The sequence below is a fragment of the Homo sapiens genome, chromosome 10 (assembly GCF_000001405.40).
Source record: "Homo sapiens chromosome 10, GRCh38.p14 Primary Assembly".
NCBI classification, from domain to species: Eukaryota; Metazoa; Chordata; class Mammalia; order Primates; family Hominidae; genus Homo; species Homo sapiens.
Window position 1 is genome coordinate 70,170,867 of NC_000010.11, and position 18,894 is coordinate 70,189,760.

The 18,894-nt window shown below is 43.7% G+C and overlaps 1 annotated feature.

The window, feature by feature from the left end:
* Positions 63–142: an enhancer, noted in NCBI's record as "active region_3498". NCBI's record gives its function as "activates an Ori minimal core promoter by ATAC-STARR-seq in GM12878 lymphoblastoid cells {active_cell/tissue: GM12878}" and the evidence as "EXISTENCE:reporter gene assay evidence [ECO:0000049][PMID:35858748]".

Genomic DNA, 18,894 nt, shown 5'->3' on the forward strand with positions numbered 1-18,894 from the left:
GGGCCCTCCACTTGAGGTGGATCCCTCCAAGCTTTTGCTTTTTTTCTTCCTTGCTTTTTTTTTTTTTTTTTTTTTTTTTGAGGCGGAGTCTCACTTTGTCGCCCAGGCTGGAGTGCAGTGGCGCGATCTCGGCTCACTGCAACCTCCACCTCCCGGATTCAAGCGATTCTCATACCTCGGCCTCCCGAGTAGCTGGAACTACAGGCGCATGTCACCACACCTGGCTAATTTTTTTGTATTTTTACAGAGACAGGTTTCACCGTGTTGGCCAGGCTGGTCTCGAACTTCTGACCTCAAGTGATCCGCTGGCCTCGGCCTTCCAAAATGCTGGGATGAGAGGCGTGAGCCACCGCGCCCAGCTGCTTTTGCTTTGAGTCGCACTTCCTTGCCCTGGGGTGGCCTATGTTTTAGAAAAACAGAAAAACAGCTAATATTTATTGTGCACTTATGTTCCAGGCAGAGCACTGGGTACTTTGCACGCTTTGTCTAATTTCACCGTCATTGGAGTCCTGTGACTCCAGATGCTAGTATTATCCTTATTGACAAATGAGAGAGCAATGTTCAGAATAACCTACCATGCCCAAGTTCACACAGCTAAGTGGCAAAGCAACGTGTTCACCCCAGTATATTTCGCATGCATTTTCTCATTTAATTCTCAGGACAGTCCCACGAGATTGGTACTATTATTACTCTCATTTTACAAATAAAACAGTCTAATGGAAAGATGAATGACGTCTGTGGGTTCATGAAGATCTCAATTCTCCTTTAGTAAAATTTAAATTTAACATAATCCCAATAAAAGTACTAATAGGATTAATAGGTCGTGTGTGGTTTCGTTCTTTTTTTTTAATTACCCTATTTGTTCCTAAAATTCGTATAGAAAACCAAACAAAACTAGTCCAGAAACAGGCTTTCAAAATGAAGAACAAGGAGGTGGGAACTAACCCTGTTGGATATTAAAACATATTATAGAGCCTAAGTTATTAAAACTGGTGTGCGTGCACATGCACAAACACACACACACAAAAAACACAATGGAACAGAGCAAAGTACAGAAATGACTAAAGTACATGCAGAAATAAAACTAAAGTAGCACCTGGGACTCCAGCAATACTCAGGGAGCTGAGTGGGCAAGCTCACCACCCTCTACCCTCCGCTCATCCTGGGGTCTTAGATGTTGAATTTGAACCCTGTCCTGTCACAGAAAGGTGTCAGGCCACTTCTGAGGCTTCTCACCAGCTTTAGCTAAACCAGGGACAATGTGTCCATGGGGCTTGGAACCCCTTGTGCATCCTGGAGACACAGATGCAAGCCCAGTGCAAGCCAACACATTGGATTACTGGCTTTGTTGAGAGCCTGGCTGCACGAGGTGGAGGTGTCTGAACCACAGGATGGCTTGGGAGGCTGGGGAAGGAGGGAACATGCAGGCAGATTCTCAGAAAAGCCGCAAACTCTACTTACCTAAAGGCTTGAGCAAGTTGACGAATGCCCCAGACCACCATGTACCCACTGTAAAATGGGTGAAACAGGCATTGTTGTGCACATAGTTTTTCCAGAGTACTGTTTTCAATAAATGATTCTGTTATGTGTTGTTAAATAAATTAATAAATAATAAAAGGGGTTGAGACAATTGGGTAGTCAAAAAAACCTACAGGTTGAATCTCCAAAAGTTTATTACTCTAAACAAGTTTCAAGTGATGAAAAGATGTGTGTATTTTGAAATGACACTATAAAGGTACTAGAAAAACAGAAGAAAGCATGGATTCCTTATAATTTTGCAATGAGAAGACCTTTCTGGGTATGATTGAAAATCTAGACCGGGCGTGGTGACTCATGCCTGTAATCCCAGCGCTTTGGGAGGCTGAGACTGGCGAATCACAAGGTCAGGAGTTCGAGACCAGCCTGGCCAACATGGTAAAACCCCATCTCTACTACAAATACAAAAAATTAGCCAGGCGTAGTGGCAGGCGCCTGTAATCCCAGCTACTTGGGAGGCTGAGGCAGGCGAATCGCTTGAACCCCTGCGGCAGAGGTTGCAGTGAGCCGAGATCACACCACTGCACTCCAACCCCGGGCAACAGACTGAGACTCCATCTCAAAAAAAAAAAAAAAAAAGAAAGAAAAGAAAATGTAGATGCCATAAAAGAAAAGATTGACAAATTTAACTACATAAAAATTAAAAACTTATATGGCATAACAACAATCATGACACCATAAGCAAACTCAGACAAATGACAAGTTGAGAAAAATAATCACATCATAGGCAAGTAAGAAGTATGAAAAAGACTAACAACACAATAGGAAAATAGGCAACAGTTCAGAACAGATAATTCATAGGAAAGGAAATAAAAATGACTTTTCTTTTTTTTTTTTTTTTCTGAGACCTAGTCTCACTCTGTCACCCAGGCTGGAGTACAGTGGCGGTCTCGGCTCACTGCAACCTCTGCCTCCAGGATTCAAGCGATTCTCCTGCCTCAGCCTCCTGCATAGTTGGGATTACAGGCATGAGCCACCGAGCCCGGCTAATCTTTGTATTTTTAGTAGACATGGTCTTTGTATTTTTAGTAGAGATGAGGTCTCACCTTGTTGGCCAGGCTGGTCTCAAACTCCTAACCTCCAGTGATCCGCCCGCCTAGGCCTCCCAAAGTGCTGGGATTACAGGCATGAGCCACTGCGCCTGGCCCAAAAATGACTCAAGCATAATAAAATAGTAATAGAAATATAGATACTATAGAAAATATAAATATAGATATTATAGAATAATAGATATAGAAAATATATAAATCCATTTATTTGTCTATGTATCTCTGTATAGTTATATCTATACTGAAATAGAAATAGATTTTAAAAAATAAAAGATAAATTTGAAACTTACTGAGATACCATTTTCACCTGTCAGATTGGCAAAAGTTCACCAGTTTATTGGTGGGAAGGCTGTTTCAGATAGAGAAGTCAGACTGGGCATGGTGGCTTATGCCTGTAATCCCAACACTGGGAGACCGAGGCAGGAGGGTCGCTTGAGCCCAGGAGGTTGAGGGTACAGTGAGCCATGATTGCACTCCAGCCTAGGCAACAGAGCGAGACCTTGTCTCTAAATTAATTAATTAATTAACTAAATCAAATACAGAAGTCAAGAAAGGCCCCACCCAGGTGCTATTTGGATAAGAACATGAAGGACATTACATGGCTGTCAGGGTAGACTGTTCCAGGCTGACAGCAGAGGCCCTAAGGCAGGAGTGTGCCTGGCAGTTTCCAGGAACATCTGGGAGGCCAGTGTGACCAGGCAAGGTGAGCAACAGAAGGAGTGGTAGGAAATGGGGTGAGGTGTTTGTGGTCAGAACTGTGGAGGTTCTGGGGTTCTACCTAACTTGCAGGTTAACAGGTTAGCCTGACACAGTCTCAGATGCTGGCAGTCACAGGACTCCTGGATCAGAGACAAACTATGTTATTACTTCCGGCATAGCGAGCAGCATGAACTTCCTGTTTGTGTTACTTCCACTTGCCCCTTCCTCCCTCCTCCTTTCTGAGGACAATGGGGTGACACAGAGCAGTCTGAATGGACACTGCCCATTCGATGGTGTGCAACACAGCTGAGGAACCCAGAACTTAGGGAACCCAAATCTTTCATAATGGCTGCAAGCGGACCTGCCTGAACTCTGACCCAGTGGGAAATGGTATGACACTGGGCAGTATACAGACCTGTCCCCTGCACCAGAGGGACACTGTCTTCCAAGGCTGTTCATTATATAAATGTCCTTCAAAAGATAGTCCAAACAAAGGCAGCTGGCACCTCTGTTTGAAAGAAGTGCAAAAATCAAAGAGCTTCATGGAGAATTGTCTCTTAACAGGAGGCAAATCTTGAAAGCCTTGTAGGTGAGGACTTTAGCTTTTATTTTTGGTGACCTGAAGAACCAATGGAGGGTTTGAGGGGAGGCATCTTATGTAATTCTTCCCCCGACTGTATGCTTACTCCTTTACATATTCTCAGCATTAGATAGACAGGGTTATTCCCACCCTTGCCAGCATCTGCTTTCCCCCTTTTCTCTTTGAGTACCTCTTTCTCCCTTCTTTGCAGAGGCTTTTTAGGCTTTGGCTCTGGTGTGGAGGAGCAGTTTTAGTGATAACTTTGCAGATCTTCTCCGTGGTTTGTCCTTCACCTTGGCTTTAACTTCCTTAGCATCCCCTTCAGCCTTTTTCTTGGGCTTGATGCAGTGGAGGTGGGGAATACGCACTGCCTGCAAGGATGCAGCCAATACCAGCTTTGGTTTGTCCAGGAGTTGCTGTCACTTGTTCTTCATATTACTCTTTATTTTTCCTTTTTTTATCCTGCTTGATAAAAAATCTTTCTTATTTTTTAGAGGCAAATTCTTGCTATGTTTCCCAGGCTGGACTCAAACTCCTGGGGCTCAAATGATCGTCTTGCCTGGGCCTCCCCAAATGTTGAGATTATGGGCGTGAGCCACTATGCCCAGCTAGCTCTGGTTTTTGTTTTTGTTTTTTTTTTTCTCACTCTGTGCCTTAGGCTGGAGTGCAATGGCATGATCGTAGCTCACTGCAGCCTCAAACTCCTGGGCAAGGGATCCTGCTGCTTCAGCCTTTCAGGTAGCTAGGACTACAGACGTGTGCTAGAATGCCTAGCTGATTTTTAAAAAATATTTTGTACAGATAAGTTCTCTCTATATTGCCCAGGCTGGTCTCAAGCTCTTGACCTCAAGTGATCCTCCCGCCTCGGCCTCCCAAAGTGCTGGAATTACAGTCATGACACACTGCTCCCAGCCCTCTGCTCTGCTTTTTAATGTGTGTTAAATGCATTGGTTTGGTAAGCATAGACATTTAAACATATTTAAATGTAGACATTTAAAACATTTAAAGTATTCCATGACTTTCATGACCCTCTTTTGGCATATCTTCAATTTGACAAGTACTGGGCATCTTGAGAAATTCCATCCTTTCCTGATCTTGGAAAATCTCAGCCTGAGAAAGCCAGGATGCCGGCTGTGTCCTGCCTCCACAGCTCTCACATCAGACCCAAAGACCAGAAAAGTGGTCTTTAATTTCCTCACTCCCCAGAAACAGCACTGCTTTCTGGAATTCTCACCCACCTCCACTAAAATGGGGCATCCAAATGGAATCTTAAGATGGTTCGGGCCATGGCTGGTCACGGTGGCCACCATGCCCAGGCTTCAGCCACCACGCCCAGCTAATTTTTGTAATTTTAGTAGAGATGGGATTTCACTACGTTGGCCAGAATGGTCTCTATCTCTTGACTTTGTGATCTGCCCCCCTCGGCCTCCCAAAGCGCTTGGATTACAGGCGTGAGCCACTGCACCCAGCCTAGCTAGTCTTCTTTTTTTTTTTTTTTTTTTTTTAGATGGAGTCTTGATCTGTCCCCAGGCTGGAGTGCAGCGGCGTGATAGCAGCTCACTGCAACCTCCGCCTCCTTGGTTCAAGTGATTCTTCTGCTCAGCCTCCCAAGTAGCTGGGACTACAGGCATGTGCCACTACACCCAGCTAATTTTTTTGTAATTTTTTAATAGAGACGGGGTTTCACCATGTTGGCCAGGATGGTGTCGATCTGTTGACCTCATGATCGGGCTCCCAAAGTGCTGGGATTACAGGCATGAGCCACGGCGCCCAGCCCCATCTAGTCTTTTTAAAGCAGGATAGAGATGATAGAGGCTAACCTATGCTACACCTGCCTGGTGTCCAGGAGAAAAATAACCTGTAATAGTAATGGAATTCCACTGTACAGGCAGAGTTGGGGGAGATGACTGTGATCTCTTTTGGTGCTAGTGTTATGGATGATTCATATTTGTACCATGATGCAAACATATATTAAAAGTCTAGTCATCGGACACTTAAAATTGGTTAAGATGGTTAAAAAAATCTAGTCATCAGAAACATTACGGGTGAAAAGTACAGTTGATGCATCTGTTCACCTTACAGGGTGAACGTAACTCCTACAATGTACTACATTGATAATAGTGACACTAATTTAATCATAATTTCTAATTAAAAAGCATTAGTTGAGGTCTCCAGCCAATTCAAGAAGCACTGAGTTTTATTATGCAACAATAATAAAACTATCTTTCCTCAAACTGCAGAAATTCCAACTACCTCCATGCAAAAAAGGAGAAGAGAAAAAAAACCTGAATGAGGAAGCTTTATAAACTTGCCAATTATCATGTAACAGCTAGCTAGATTTAGTGGAATACTGAATTTGAGTAAACTCCAGTAATGTTCACGTTTTCCTTTGTGAATACTGAATTATGGTGATATATTGGTACATAACTATTTGCAAGGAAGAAATAGAAGAGACTATTTGCTTCTAGGAAGGAGTGAAAGAATTTGCAGTTTTAGGCCAGACACGGGGGCTCACACCTGTAATCCCAGCATTTTAGGAGACTGAAGTGAGAGGATCACTTGAAGCCAGGATTTTGAGACCAGCCTGGGCAACATAGTGGGACCCTACCTTTACAAAAAAAGTTGTGCATTTTTAGATTAATTAATTCATTCAATATTTATGAAACACATGTTATATGTGAGGACCTATGCTAGGCACTGGGAATAGGTAATGGGGAACAAAAGAGATGGGGTCCCTAAACTCATAGAGCTTACAGTCTAGCAGCACTTGGAGATCATCTCCTAGTTTTTAATTTATTTTTAATTTTTTTATGTGTATATTATGTATTTATTTTGTGACAGGGTCTCACTCTGTCACCCAGGCTGGTGCAGTGGCACAAACACAGCTCACTACCTTGATGTCCCAGGTTCAAGTGATCCTCTCACCTCAGTCTCGCAAGCAGCTGAGACCACAGGTACATGCCATCATGCCCTGGCTCAATGTTTTTTTAAGAGATAGGGTCTTGCTATGTTGCCCAGGCTAGTCTCATACTCCTAGGCTCAAGGTATCCTCCAGCCTTGGCCTCCCAAAGTGTTGAAATTATAGGTAAAGCCATCTCACCTAGCTGGCCCCCTAGTTTTAATGGCCCAACTGGAAGACTTTCTTACCCCTCAGAGGCTTTTGGACCCTGCTTTAAGAATCACCACACTGGGCCAGGTGCAGTGGCTCACGTCTGTAATCCCAGCACTTTGGGAGGTTGAGGCAGGCAGCTCACTTGAGCTCAGAAGTTCAAGACTAGCCTGGGCGACATGACAAAACCCAATCTTTACAAAAAACACAAAAATTAGCTGGGTGTGGTGGTGTGCACCTTGCAGTACCAGCTACTCGGGAAGCTAAGGTAGGAGGATGGCTTGAGCCCGGGAGGTGGAGGTTGCAGTGAGCTGGGATCACTCCACTGAACTCCAGCCTGGGCGACAGAGCCAGACCCCATCTCAAAATAAATACATAAATAAATAAATAAATAACTACACTGCTTTGTAGTCTCCTTTACTGCTCCTATGGTGCCACCCAATAAATAGCTGAGAAGATGAAGGTGTCCAAATGGCGTGTCATACCATGGCTACTCCAGTATTTATAGAGCAGTCATACACTCAAGAAATACACTTGAATATTTTCTGATAAGAAGAGTTTAAGGGTAAAAAGTGGATATGTTATCAAACAGCATTCCACATAACTAACATTCCTTAAAATTCTTCCGTACCCATTACAGAAATAAAACCATATTCCTTTCTAATTTTAAAAACTCTTGATGCCTCTTCAGGGCCTCTTTAAAGTCCAGGATCTCCTTAGCAGGGGAGCACAGAGCCTTTGTTAAGCATGAGGCTCCTGCTTCTTTTCTTGCCTGCCCTTCTTCTGTTCTCCAACTTGTACCCAATGTCCCAGCTTTCTAGAATACACTAGGGTTCTGGAACATATCACATGGAGTGGATTAAGCATTCGTGTTCAACAGTACATCCCTATTATCTTTATACCAGTTTAAAAGAATTAGGTATACTGACAAAGTAATAACATGAGATTTCAAAATGTATACAAAGTATAATCTTATGCCTCTTCAAAAAACACACACACAAAATTATACTTTTACATATGTTCAAATATGTGTATAAAGACATAGAGAAAAATCTAGAGAGATTTTTATCAAACTGATAACAGTGTTTATAAGAAGGGAGTGGGATTAACAGCAATCAAGATAGAATTTTTTTATCTGTATTTTTGAAATTTTTAAAAATGTATTTTAATCTTTTGTAGAGGTGAGTTCTCACTATATTGCACAGGATGGTCTCGAACTCCTGGGCTCAGGGGATCCTCCCATCTCGGCCTCCATAACTGCTGGGATTACAAGCATGAGCCACTATACCTGGCTGAAATTTTTTAACATACTAGTATTTGTGTAATTTAAAAAATAAACAGGCTGGGCACGGTGGCTCATGCCTGTAATCCCAGCACTTTGGGAGGCCGAGGCAGGTGGATCCTGAGGTCAAAAGATAGAGACCGTCCTGGCCAACATGGTGAAACCGCATCTCTACTAAAATACAAAAATCAGCTGGGCATGGTGGCACACGCCTATAGTCCCAGCTACTTGGGAGTCTGAGGCAGGAGAATCGCTTGAACCCAGGAGGCAGAGGTTGCGGTGAGCCAAGATTGCGTCACTGCACTCCAGCCTGATGACAGAGCAGGACTCTGTCTAAATAAATACATAAATAAAACAATAGTGAATACATGACACGATGCATTTGTCAAAAGCCATAGTCCATTATAGGACAAAGATTGAACTTTAACATATGCAAATTTTAAAAAATCCTTTAGAGATCAGGGGATCCTAGAAAAGATGCAGAATCTGAGAAAAAAAAACTATATTATAAATGTATGAACAACCTTACTGAAGCAGGTAGGCAGAAAAGGTGCTGAACTAAGTCACTTTGGAAATGACTGAAGTCTGTAAGACTAAAGGCAAAAGGAATACACATAAACACTATATTCCAGTTGATCAGGTTGTTTCCCACAGGGTTTGTAAAGGCCAACAATTTGGAAACCATTATAAAATTTGGAAACCCCTATGTATACTGGAATTTACCAATTAAGCAAATGGATGGTGGATGATGGGAGCAGGTGAAAACTCACTGTTGGAGTGTGAGGTTATAGATAAGCGAGGAGAGAAGAGGCTACAATGATCCATGTAGTAATGGATTGGAGTTGGAGATATCAGTATGAATTCATGCTTAGTGTGATATAGACAGAAATGTATTTATAGATATGTTTATATATATGTCAATATACACATATATATTTCCTTGCTATGTCAGCTGAGAAGGCATAGAAACAACAACAACTCAGTAGCAGTGAGCACCCTAGTGCCCAGATCTTGGTTTCTAATACCATTCTCCAAGGAAAGGAACCAGGGCTTCTTGGGAAAATGACTGATTCTAGGGCTGGGGCAGGGAATATACAAGATGAGCCTGGAACACCTTGTGCCAAAAAGTATAGAAGTATCCCCATATCCAAAAAACACCCAGAATGAGGGGATCAATGAGACAAGCAACTGAAAGAGCTCCCAGCGGCCAAAGCTGGCATAATTTAAGCAACAAAATAAATTTTAAAATAGCTTTGGATTAGAACCTAAAGTATAAGATAGATATCCATGAGTCCATATGGACATAAATAAATAATTGACTGAATAGATAGCTGGGCATGCTGGCTCACATGTGTAATCCCAGCATTTTGGGAGTCCAAGGTAGGAGGACTGCTTGAGGCCAGGAGTTTGAGAAAGCCTGGGCAACACAGCAAGATCCCATGACTACAAAAAACTTAAAAAATTAGCCAGGCATGATGGTGTGAACCTGTAGTCCTAGCTAGTCTGGAGGCTGAGTTGAGAGGATTGCTTGAGCCCAAGAGGTCCAGGCTGCAGTTAGCTATAATCAGGGCACTGCACTCCAGCCTAGGTGACAAAGCAAGACCCTGTCTCAAAAACAAAGAAACAATAAATAGATAAATGAAGAAGAACAGACATATCTTCCATGGAGAAGAATTCCAAATAATTAAGGTAAATAGTCTACCCTCAAGGAGGTGGAGTGTAACTCCCCATCATGTCTGGGCTACACACAGTGACATCCTTCTAAAGAGAACAGTGTGGAAAGGGGATGAGGGGGAGAATATAATTACAGCAGAGAAACATGACAATCACAATCTCAGCCAGGTGATGAAGTTTAACACCTCCAGTGATATGCCATGTTGATAGTACATGCCCTTCATATGATATGATGAGAATATCACTTTATTCGTATGATCTTCCTCCTCCCAACACATATCCCCAGTCTAATCATGAGAAAAATATCAGACAAATCTCAACTGAGAGATGTTCTATAAAATACCTGACCATACTCCTCAAAGATAGAGTCATCAAAAATGAGGAAAGCGGCCAGGTGCGCTGGCTCACGCCTGTAATCCCAGCACTTTGGGAGACCAAGGCGGGTGGATCGCCTGAGGTCAGGATTTCAAGACCAGCCCGGCCAACATAGTGAAACCCCCTCTCTACTAAATACAAAAAATTAGCCAGGCATGGTGGCACATGACTGTAATCCCAGCTACTTGGGAGGCTGAGGCAGGAGAATCGCTTGAACCCAGGAGCGGAGGTTGCAGTGAGCCAAAATTGTGCCATTGCACACTCTAGCCTGGGCAACAAGAGTGAAACTCTGTCTCAAAAAAAAAAAAAAGGAAAGTCTAAGAAATAGTAACCACTAAGAAGAAAATAGGAGATAGGACAACTAAATATAGTATGGTATCTCAGCCTGGCACAGTAGCTCATGCCTGTAATCCCAGCAGTTTGGGAGGCTGAGGCGGGCAGATCACCTGAGGTCAGGAGTTCGAGACCAACCTGACCAACATGGTGAAACTCCATCTCTACTAAAAATACAAAATTAGCCAGGTGTGGTGGCATACACCTATAATCCCAGCTACTTGGGAGGCTGAGGCAAAATAATCACTTGAACCCAGGAGGCGGAGGTTGCAGTGAGCCAAAGATTGTGCCATTGCACTACAGCCTGGGTGACACAGCAAGACTCCATCTCAAATAAATAAATAGAGTATGGTATCTCAACACATTAAAAGACATTAGGTAAAAAACTAAGGAAATCTGGGTCAGGTGCAGTGGCTCACGCCTGTAATTCCAGCACTTTGGGAGACCAAGGCGGGTGGATCACCTGAGGTCAGGAGTTCGAGACCAGCCTGACTAACATGGAGAAACCCCATCTCTACTAAAAAAATACAAAATTAGCCAGATGTGGTGGCACATGCCTATAATCCCAGCTACTCGGGAGGCTGAGACAGGAGAATCAATCGAACCTGGGAGGCGGAGGTTGCGGTGAGCCAAGACCGCGCCATTGCACTCCAGCCTGGGCAACAAGAGCAAAACTCGATCTCAGAAAAAAAAAGAAAAAAAAAAAAAAAACTTAAGGAAATCTGAAAAAAGTATGGGCCTTAATTAATAATGTTGACATACCTCAGGCTAGGAGTGGTGCTCACACCTGTAATCCTAACACTTTGGGACACCAAGACAGGAAGATCACTTGAGCCCAAGAGTTCACGATCAGCTTGGGCAACATAGTGAGACTCTATCTCTACAAAATAAAGCCAGTGTGATGGCTTGCACCTGTGGTCCCAGCTATTTGGGAGGCTGAGGTGGGAGGGCTGCTTGAGCCTGAGAGGTTGAGGCTGCAGTGAACCAAGATCGCACCATTGCACTCCAGCCTGGGCAACAGAACAAGACCTTGTCTCAAGAAAAATAATAAAAATTTTAAAAATTAAAAATATACATATTTTAAATGTATCAATATTGATTCATTAATTGTAACAAGTGTACCATAGTAACGTGAGATGTGAATAACAGGGAAATGGGGTGGGGCACACAGCAACTTTCTGTACTACTGTCTTCACAATTTTTCTGTAAATCTAAAAATGTTTTAAAATTAAATTTTTATTTAAACATAAATTAATAAAACTACTTCAGTCTCACCTCTCCCCCACAAAGAACCTTTGTTGGGGACAGCAACTGTCAAGGGGGAAGGATAGAGGCAGAGGAGCATAGGCAAGAAAAAAGAAAAAGATTGAAAGGGAGAGAGAATAATAGAGAAAGAGGAGTATGTGATTGTGTGTATACATTTATGTTAAATTACAACTATCTGTGGGGAGGTAAAAGATTATAACTTTTTTTGAAAAATGGGTTCTGGAATCAGACAACCTGCATTTGAGTCTCAGTTTTTCCACTAACTAGCTCTGTAAATTTCAATAACTTACTTAACCTTTCTTTGTATAAAATGGATAATAATAGTGTCTACTTCATTATAGTGCCTCCAGTCGTTAACACAGTTCCTGGTATGTGGTGGGTGCCTAATAAAATTTGTTCAGACCTGGTGCGGTGGTTTACACCTGTAATTCCAGCGTTTTGGGTGGCCAAGGCAGGAGGATCACTTGAGCCCAGGAGGTCAAGACTAGCCTGGGCAACACAGTGAGACCTTGTCTCTACAAAAAATAAAATTAGCTGCGAATGGTGGCACATGCCCATACTCCCAGCTACTTGGGAAGCTGAGGCTGGAGGATGGCTTAAGCCTCAGAGGTTTACGCTTCAGTGAGCCCTGATCACACCACTGCACTGTAGCCTAGGGGACAGAAGGAGATCCTGTCTCAGAGACAGAGAGAAAGAAGGAAGGAAGGAAGGAGGGAGGGAGGGAAGAAGGAAGGAAGGAAGGAAGGAAAGAAGGAAAGAAGGAAAGGAGAAAAGAGAAAGGGAGAAAAGAGAGAAAGGGAGAAGGAAGGAAAGAAGGAAGGAGAAAAGAAGAAGAAGGAGGAGGAGGAGGGGAGGAGGAGGAGGAGAAGGAGGAAGGAAGGAAGGAAGGAAAAAGAAATTTGTTTAATAATTGGCTGAGTGAATCAATGAATTAATATATAATTTATTTGGAGATTAAATAAGATTATATAATTTTAGTTTGCTAGCACAAACATTCAATAGATGTTGAGTATTACCATCCACATCCTCTTCAGCCTTTGGACTCCTTCCTGCCTCTGTACCTGTGAACAGGCTACCACTCTGCCTGGAGCACCTTCTACTTCTCCATCTTATTTGTCAAGACCCAGGTCAAGCAAGCCTCTATAGTCAGCCTTTCCCAGGTGGTCCTTCCCCACATTGCCTGCCTGCTTCCTTCCTATCACTGTAATACGTCTAATGTTCATACCTAATGACGAGGGGTGTGTAATGGCTTTGTTGATATATAATTCATATACCATAAAATTCACCCATTTAAGGTATACAATTCAGTGGTTTTTAGTACATATTCACAGAGTTGTGCAACCATCACCACAATTAATTTAGAATATTTTCAGCCGGGTACAGTGGCTCACATCTATAATCGCAGCACTTCGGGAGGCTGAGGCGGGAGGATCACTTGAGCTCCAGAGTTCAAGACCAGCTTGGGCAATATATAGTGAGACCCCATCGCTACAAAAAAATCAAACAATTAGCCAGGTGTGGTGGCTCACGCCTGTGGTCCCAGCTACTCAGAAGGCTGAGGCGGGAGGATGGCTTGAGACTAGGATGTCAAGGCTGCAGTGAGCTATGATCACACCACTGCATTCCAACCTTCTCTAAAAAAAAAAAAATTGAATATTTTCACCATTTCAGAAGGAAAACCTGTTAACAGTCACTCTACATCTTCTCTCACCTCAACCCAGCCTCTGGAAATCACGAGTCTACTTTTTGTCACTATAGATTTGCCTATTCTAGACTTTCACATAAATAGAATCATACACTGTTTGTCCTTTTGCGTCTGGCTTCTTTCACTTAGCATAATGCTTTTAAGGCTTGTCTGTGCTGCGGCATTATCCATGCTTCACTCCTTTTTATAACTGAATAATATTCTGTGGTATGTATACACCAAATTTTGTTCATCCATTCATTAACCGATGGATATTTGGGGTGTTTACACTTTTTGGCTATTATGGATAATACTCCTACGAATATTTGTGTACAAGTTTTTCTGTGAATGTATGTTCTCCTGGCTATATATCTAGGAGTGAAATTGCTGGGTCATATGGTAACTCTGTTTAACTTTAAAAATATATATATATATACACATATATATTTGTTTTTTCTTTTTAAGAGATAGGGTCTCTTTCTGTCACCCAGGCTGGAGTGCAGTAGTGCAATCACAGCTCGCTGTGACGTTGAACTCCTAAGCTCAAGTGAGACTCCAGCTTCAGCCTCCCAAGTAGCTAGGACTACCACCATGCTTCGCTAATTTTTTTTGAGATGGAATCATGCTCTGTTCCCCAGGCTGGAGTGCAGTGGTGTGATCTCTGCTCACTGCAACCTCTGCCTCCTTGGGTTCAAGCAATTCTCCTGCCTCAGCCTCCCAGGTAGCTGGGATTACAGGTGCCCACCACAACACCCAGCTAATTTTTGTATTTTTAGAAGAGATGGGATTTCACCATGTTGGCCAGCCTGGTTTCGAACTCCTGACCTCAGATCCGCCTGCCTCAGCCTCCCAAAGTGCCGGGTTTACAGGTGTGAGCCACCATGCCCGGCCCATGCCTGGCTAATTTTAAACATTTTTTGTAGAGATAGTATCTCGCTATGTTACCCAGGCTGGCCTCAAACTCCCAGACTTAGGCGATCCTCCCGCCTCAGTCTCCCAAACTACTGAGATTACAGGTGTTAGTCACTGTACCCCACCTATGTTCAACTTTTCGAGGAACTGACTAACTTTTCCAAAGTGGTTGCAGTATTTTACATTACCACCAGCAGTGTATGAGGGTTCCCGTTTCTCCACATCTACAATACGTGCTGTTTGTTTGTTTGTTTGTTTGTTTGAGACAGGGTCTTGTTCCGTTGTTTGTTTGTTTGTTTGTTTTTTGAGACAGGGTCTTGTTCTGTTGCCCAGGTTGGAGTGCAGGGCACAATCATGGCTCTTTACAGCTTTGTTCTTCTGGGCTTAAGCAATCCTCCTACGCCAGCCACCCAAGTAGCTGGGACTACAGGCAGGTGCCACCACGCCCAGCTAATTTTTACATTTTTTGTAGAGATGAGGTCTCATCATTTTGCCCAGGCTGGTCTCAAACTCGTGGGCTCAAGTGACCCCCCCAACCTTGGCCTCCCAAAGTGCTGGGATTACAGGTATGAGCCACCATGCCCATGATAGATTTTTACTACGAGTAGCACCTTACTAGTGAACCCCTTGAAGGCAAAGAGAGTGTAATTGTGGTATTCAGCCACCCCGGCTGTTATTAGCCCAGTGCCAGCATAGGGTCAACTTGCAACACATGCTCACCAGGTAGCAGAAAGCCCATCAGGTCCACATTCTGCTGCTAGTCAGGGGCTACTAGGAAGCAATATTCAGAGTACAGAGTAAGACACATGACTCAGAGAAATTCACAATATAGAGAAATGCAAGGTCCACAGGAAAAGTTTAGTCTTACCATGAAACCAAGAAAGCCTCTTCTTGGCGTTGTGCTCGCCACGTGCAGTCCACACCCCAGCCCCACCCAAAATCTTATTAGAAACGCACATTCTCAGGTGCCATTCCATATCTAGGAGATCAGAATCTCTGGGCAGGCGGCCTAGCAATTGGCTTTAACAGCCCTCCAGGTAATTCTGATGTTTGCTGGAGTTTGAGAAGCACAGTGTTACAGTATTCTTTTAAGGCTGAATTAGGCATTGTTAGGAGGAGGGGGAAAGTGGCTTTAATAAGCCAAGAGGTTTTAAAAATTTTTTATTATGTTCAAAATCCTGAGATTTGGGGCACTCTCATAAACAGGCGGGCAAGCCGGTAAGATCTTTCTGCAGGGCAATTTAACACATGTCCAGATCTTTGTCAATGTGCACACTTGTTGACCCTGCACTTCCACTTCTAGAAATTTATCCTCAGGAAAAAAGCCAGAGATATTCTCTGAGGTTTATTTATAATGACGTTCTCTTATTGCAGCATTATTTAAAATCAGAAGAAATTGGAAATAAACCAAAAGGTGAATCACTAGAGACTGAATACATGAACTGTTATCTTCATTACATAATTAATTGAGTCATTTTGTATAGTATTGAATAGCTTTATAAATGAAGAAGAGTTCACATTTAAGTTAAAATAAAAGGTTACAAAGGTGTAAATCAATTTCCCCATTTTTTAATTTTATTTTATTGTTTTATTTTATTGTATTTTATTTTGAGACGGAGTCTCACTCTGTCGCCCAGGCTGGAGTGCAGTGGCGCTATCTTGGCTCACTGCAAGCTCCACCTCCCGGGTTCATGCCATTCTCCTGCCTCAGCCTCCCGAGTAGCTGGGACTACAGGCGCCCGGCACCACGCCCGGCTAATTTTTTGTATTTTTAGTAGAGATGGGGTTTCACCGTGTTAGCCAGGATGGTCTCGATCTCCTGACCTCGTGATCTGCCCGCCTCAGCCTCTCAAAGTGCTGGGATTACAGGTGTGAGCCACCGCATCTGGCCGGCTATTTTTTTTTCTTTTTTTTTTTTTTATTATACTTTAAGTTTTAGGGTACATGTGCACAACGTGCAGGTTTGTTACATATGTATACATGTGCCATGTTGGTGTGCTGCACCCACTAACTCGTTATTTAACATTAGGTATATCTCCTAATGCTATCCCTCTCCCCATCCCCCCACCCCACAACAGGCCCCGGTGTGTGATGTTCCCCTTCCTGTGTCCATGTGTTCTCACTGTTCAATTCCCACCTATGAGTGAGAACATGCGGTGTTTGGTTTTTTGTCCTTGCGATAGTTTGCTGAGAATGCTGGTTTCCAGCTTCATCCATGTCCCTACAAAGGACATGAACTCATCATTTTTTATGGCTGCATAATATTCCATGGTACATATGTGCCATATTTTTATTTTATTTGAGACACAGTCTTGCTCTGTCGCCCAGGCTGGAATGCAGTGGTGTGATCTCGGCTCACTGCAACCTCAGCCTCCCGAGTAGCTGGGATTACAGGTGCATACTACCACGTCTGGCTCATTTTTGTATTTTTAGTAGAGACGGGGTTTCACCATGTTGGTCAGGTTAGTCTAGAACTCCTGACCTCAAGTGATCCGCCTGCCTCAGCCTCCCACAATTGCTGGGATTACAGGCGTGAGTCACTGTGCCTGGCCTGTTTTAGAAATATACATATATATACACACACAAAGACATGTGTCTCTATCTACAATTGATTCTTGCTATTTGCAATAGTTATGTTCTATAAAGTCACCCCAAACATTGAGTCTGCTTCCCTCTGCTGTTCCTTAGGAAAGAGAATTTGTTCAAAAAGAAGGGAGCCCAATTCTGCATACACTTTCCCCCTCAAATTCTTCCAGCAGATTTCTTTGTGGTTCCTACTGGCAGAGATTGCAGCCAGGCATGGTGGCTCAAGCCTGTAATCCCAGCACTTTGGAATGCCAAGGCAGGAAGATCCCTTGAGCCCAGGAGTTTGAGACCACCCTGAGCAATACAGACAGACCCCATCTCTACAAAAAATAAATGAATGAATTAGCCAGGCATGGTCGTGCATGCCTGTGGTCCAAGCTATGCAGGAGGCTGAAGTGGGAGGATCACTTGAGCATGGGAGGCTGAGGCTACAGTGAGCCATGATCACTCCACTGCACCCCAGCCTGGGTGATAGACCAAGACTGACTCAAAAAAAAAAAAAAAAAAAAAAAAACGCTACAGAAAGTAGAACAAGTCCTCGGGCACCCTCAGGGTCCTAGTCTGTAATTCTAGCACTTTGGGAGGCCAAGGTGGGCAGATCACCTGAAGTCAGGAGTTCGAGACCAGCCTGGCCAACATGGCGAAACCCCATCTCTACTAAAAATACAAAAAATTAGCCGGGCATGGTGGCACATGCCTGTAATCCCAGCTACTTGGGAGGTAGAGGCAGGAGAATCACTTGAAACCAGGAGGTGGAAGTTGCACTGAGCCGAGATTGCACCATTGCACTCCAGCCTGGGTGACAGAGCGAGACTCCATCTCAAAAAAAAAAAAGAGATTGCACACCTGTGACTGAGCACTAGACTAGGACCCTGAGGGTGCCCGAGGACTTGTTCTACTTTCTGTAATAATGACCTTAACTTTCTAACCCTGCACACTATCCCCATGGCAGGAACTGTGGAGTTAAAGCTACAGCAGGACACAGCATGACATTGTGAGGTCCCACCTTCCCCTGTCACATCCTCTGACAGAAGCTATGAACACATCCTGACATGGTGAAGGGTCATGACCAGTCTCTGTGGTCTGCAATTTCAGAATCATGCAAATATGGCTTTGAACTTTAATATCAGTTTCCCAATCACCCACCTTGTCCAGTTCAGTGGTAGAGAGGGTTTTTTTTCCCCCACTGCATCCTGCCCCACTGGACTATATCAAAATCGTGGGGATGTGACATCTTCCACATTAAAACATATGCACAAGGTGGGAGCCCACTACCTTGTTATCCAGAATAAGGAAACCGAGTCCCAGAGAAGTGAAAAGACCTGCCTGATGTCACAAAGGAGCCAGGGCCAGCATGTAGATCTTAGGACTTCCAGCACAGAGTTCTTCCCCAGAGTGTTCTCAACTTTAACTCCAGGAGTCTAGTGGCACAGTCATGACATGGAAGCCACCAATAGCAACTTGCCCTGAAATAGCACATTTTTCCTTCAAAATTCATGGAAAACTGGCATTTAAAATTGTAGCCTATGGCCAGGCACAGTGGCTCACGCCTGTAATCCCAGCATTTTAGAAGGCCAAGGCAGGTGGATCACCTGAGGTCAGGAGTTGGAGACCAGCCTGGCCAGCATAGTGAAACCCCATCTCTACCAAAAATACAAAAAGGTAGCCAGGCATGGTGGCAGGCACCTGTAGTCCCAGCTACTTGGGAGGCTGAGGCAGGAGAATTGCTTGAACTTGGGAGGCAGAGGTTGCAGTGAGTGGAGATCATGCCACTGCACTCCAGCCTGGGCAACAGAGCGAGACTCCATC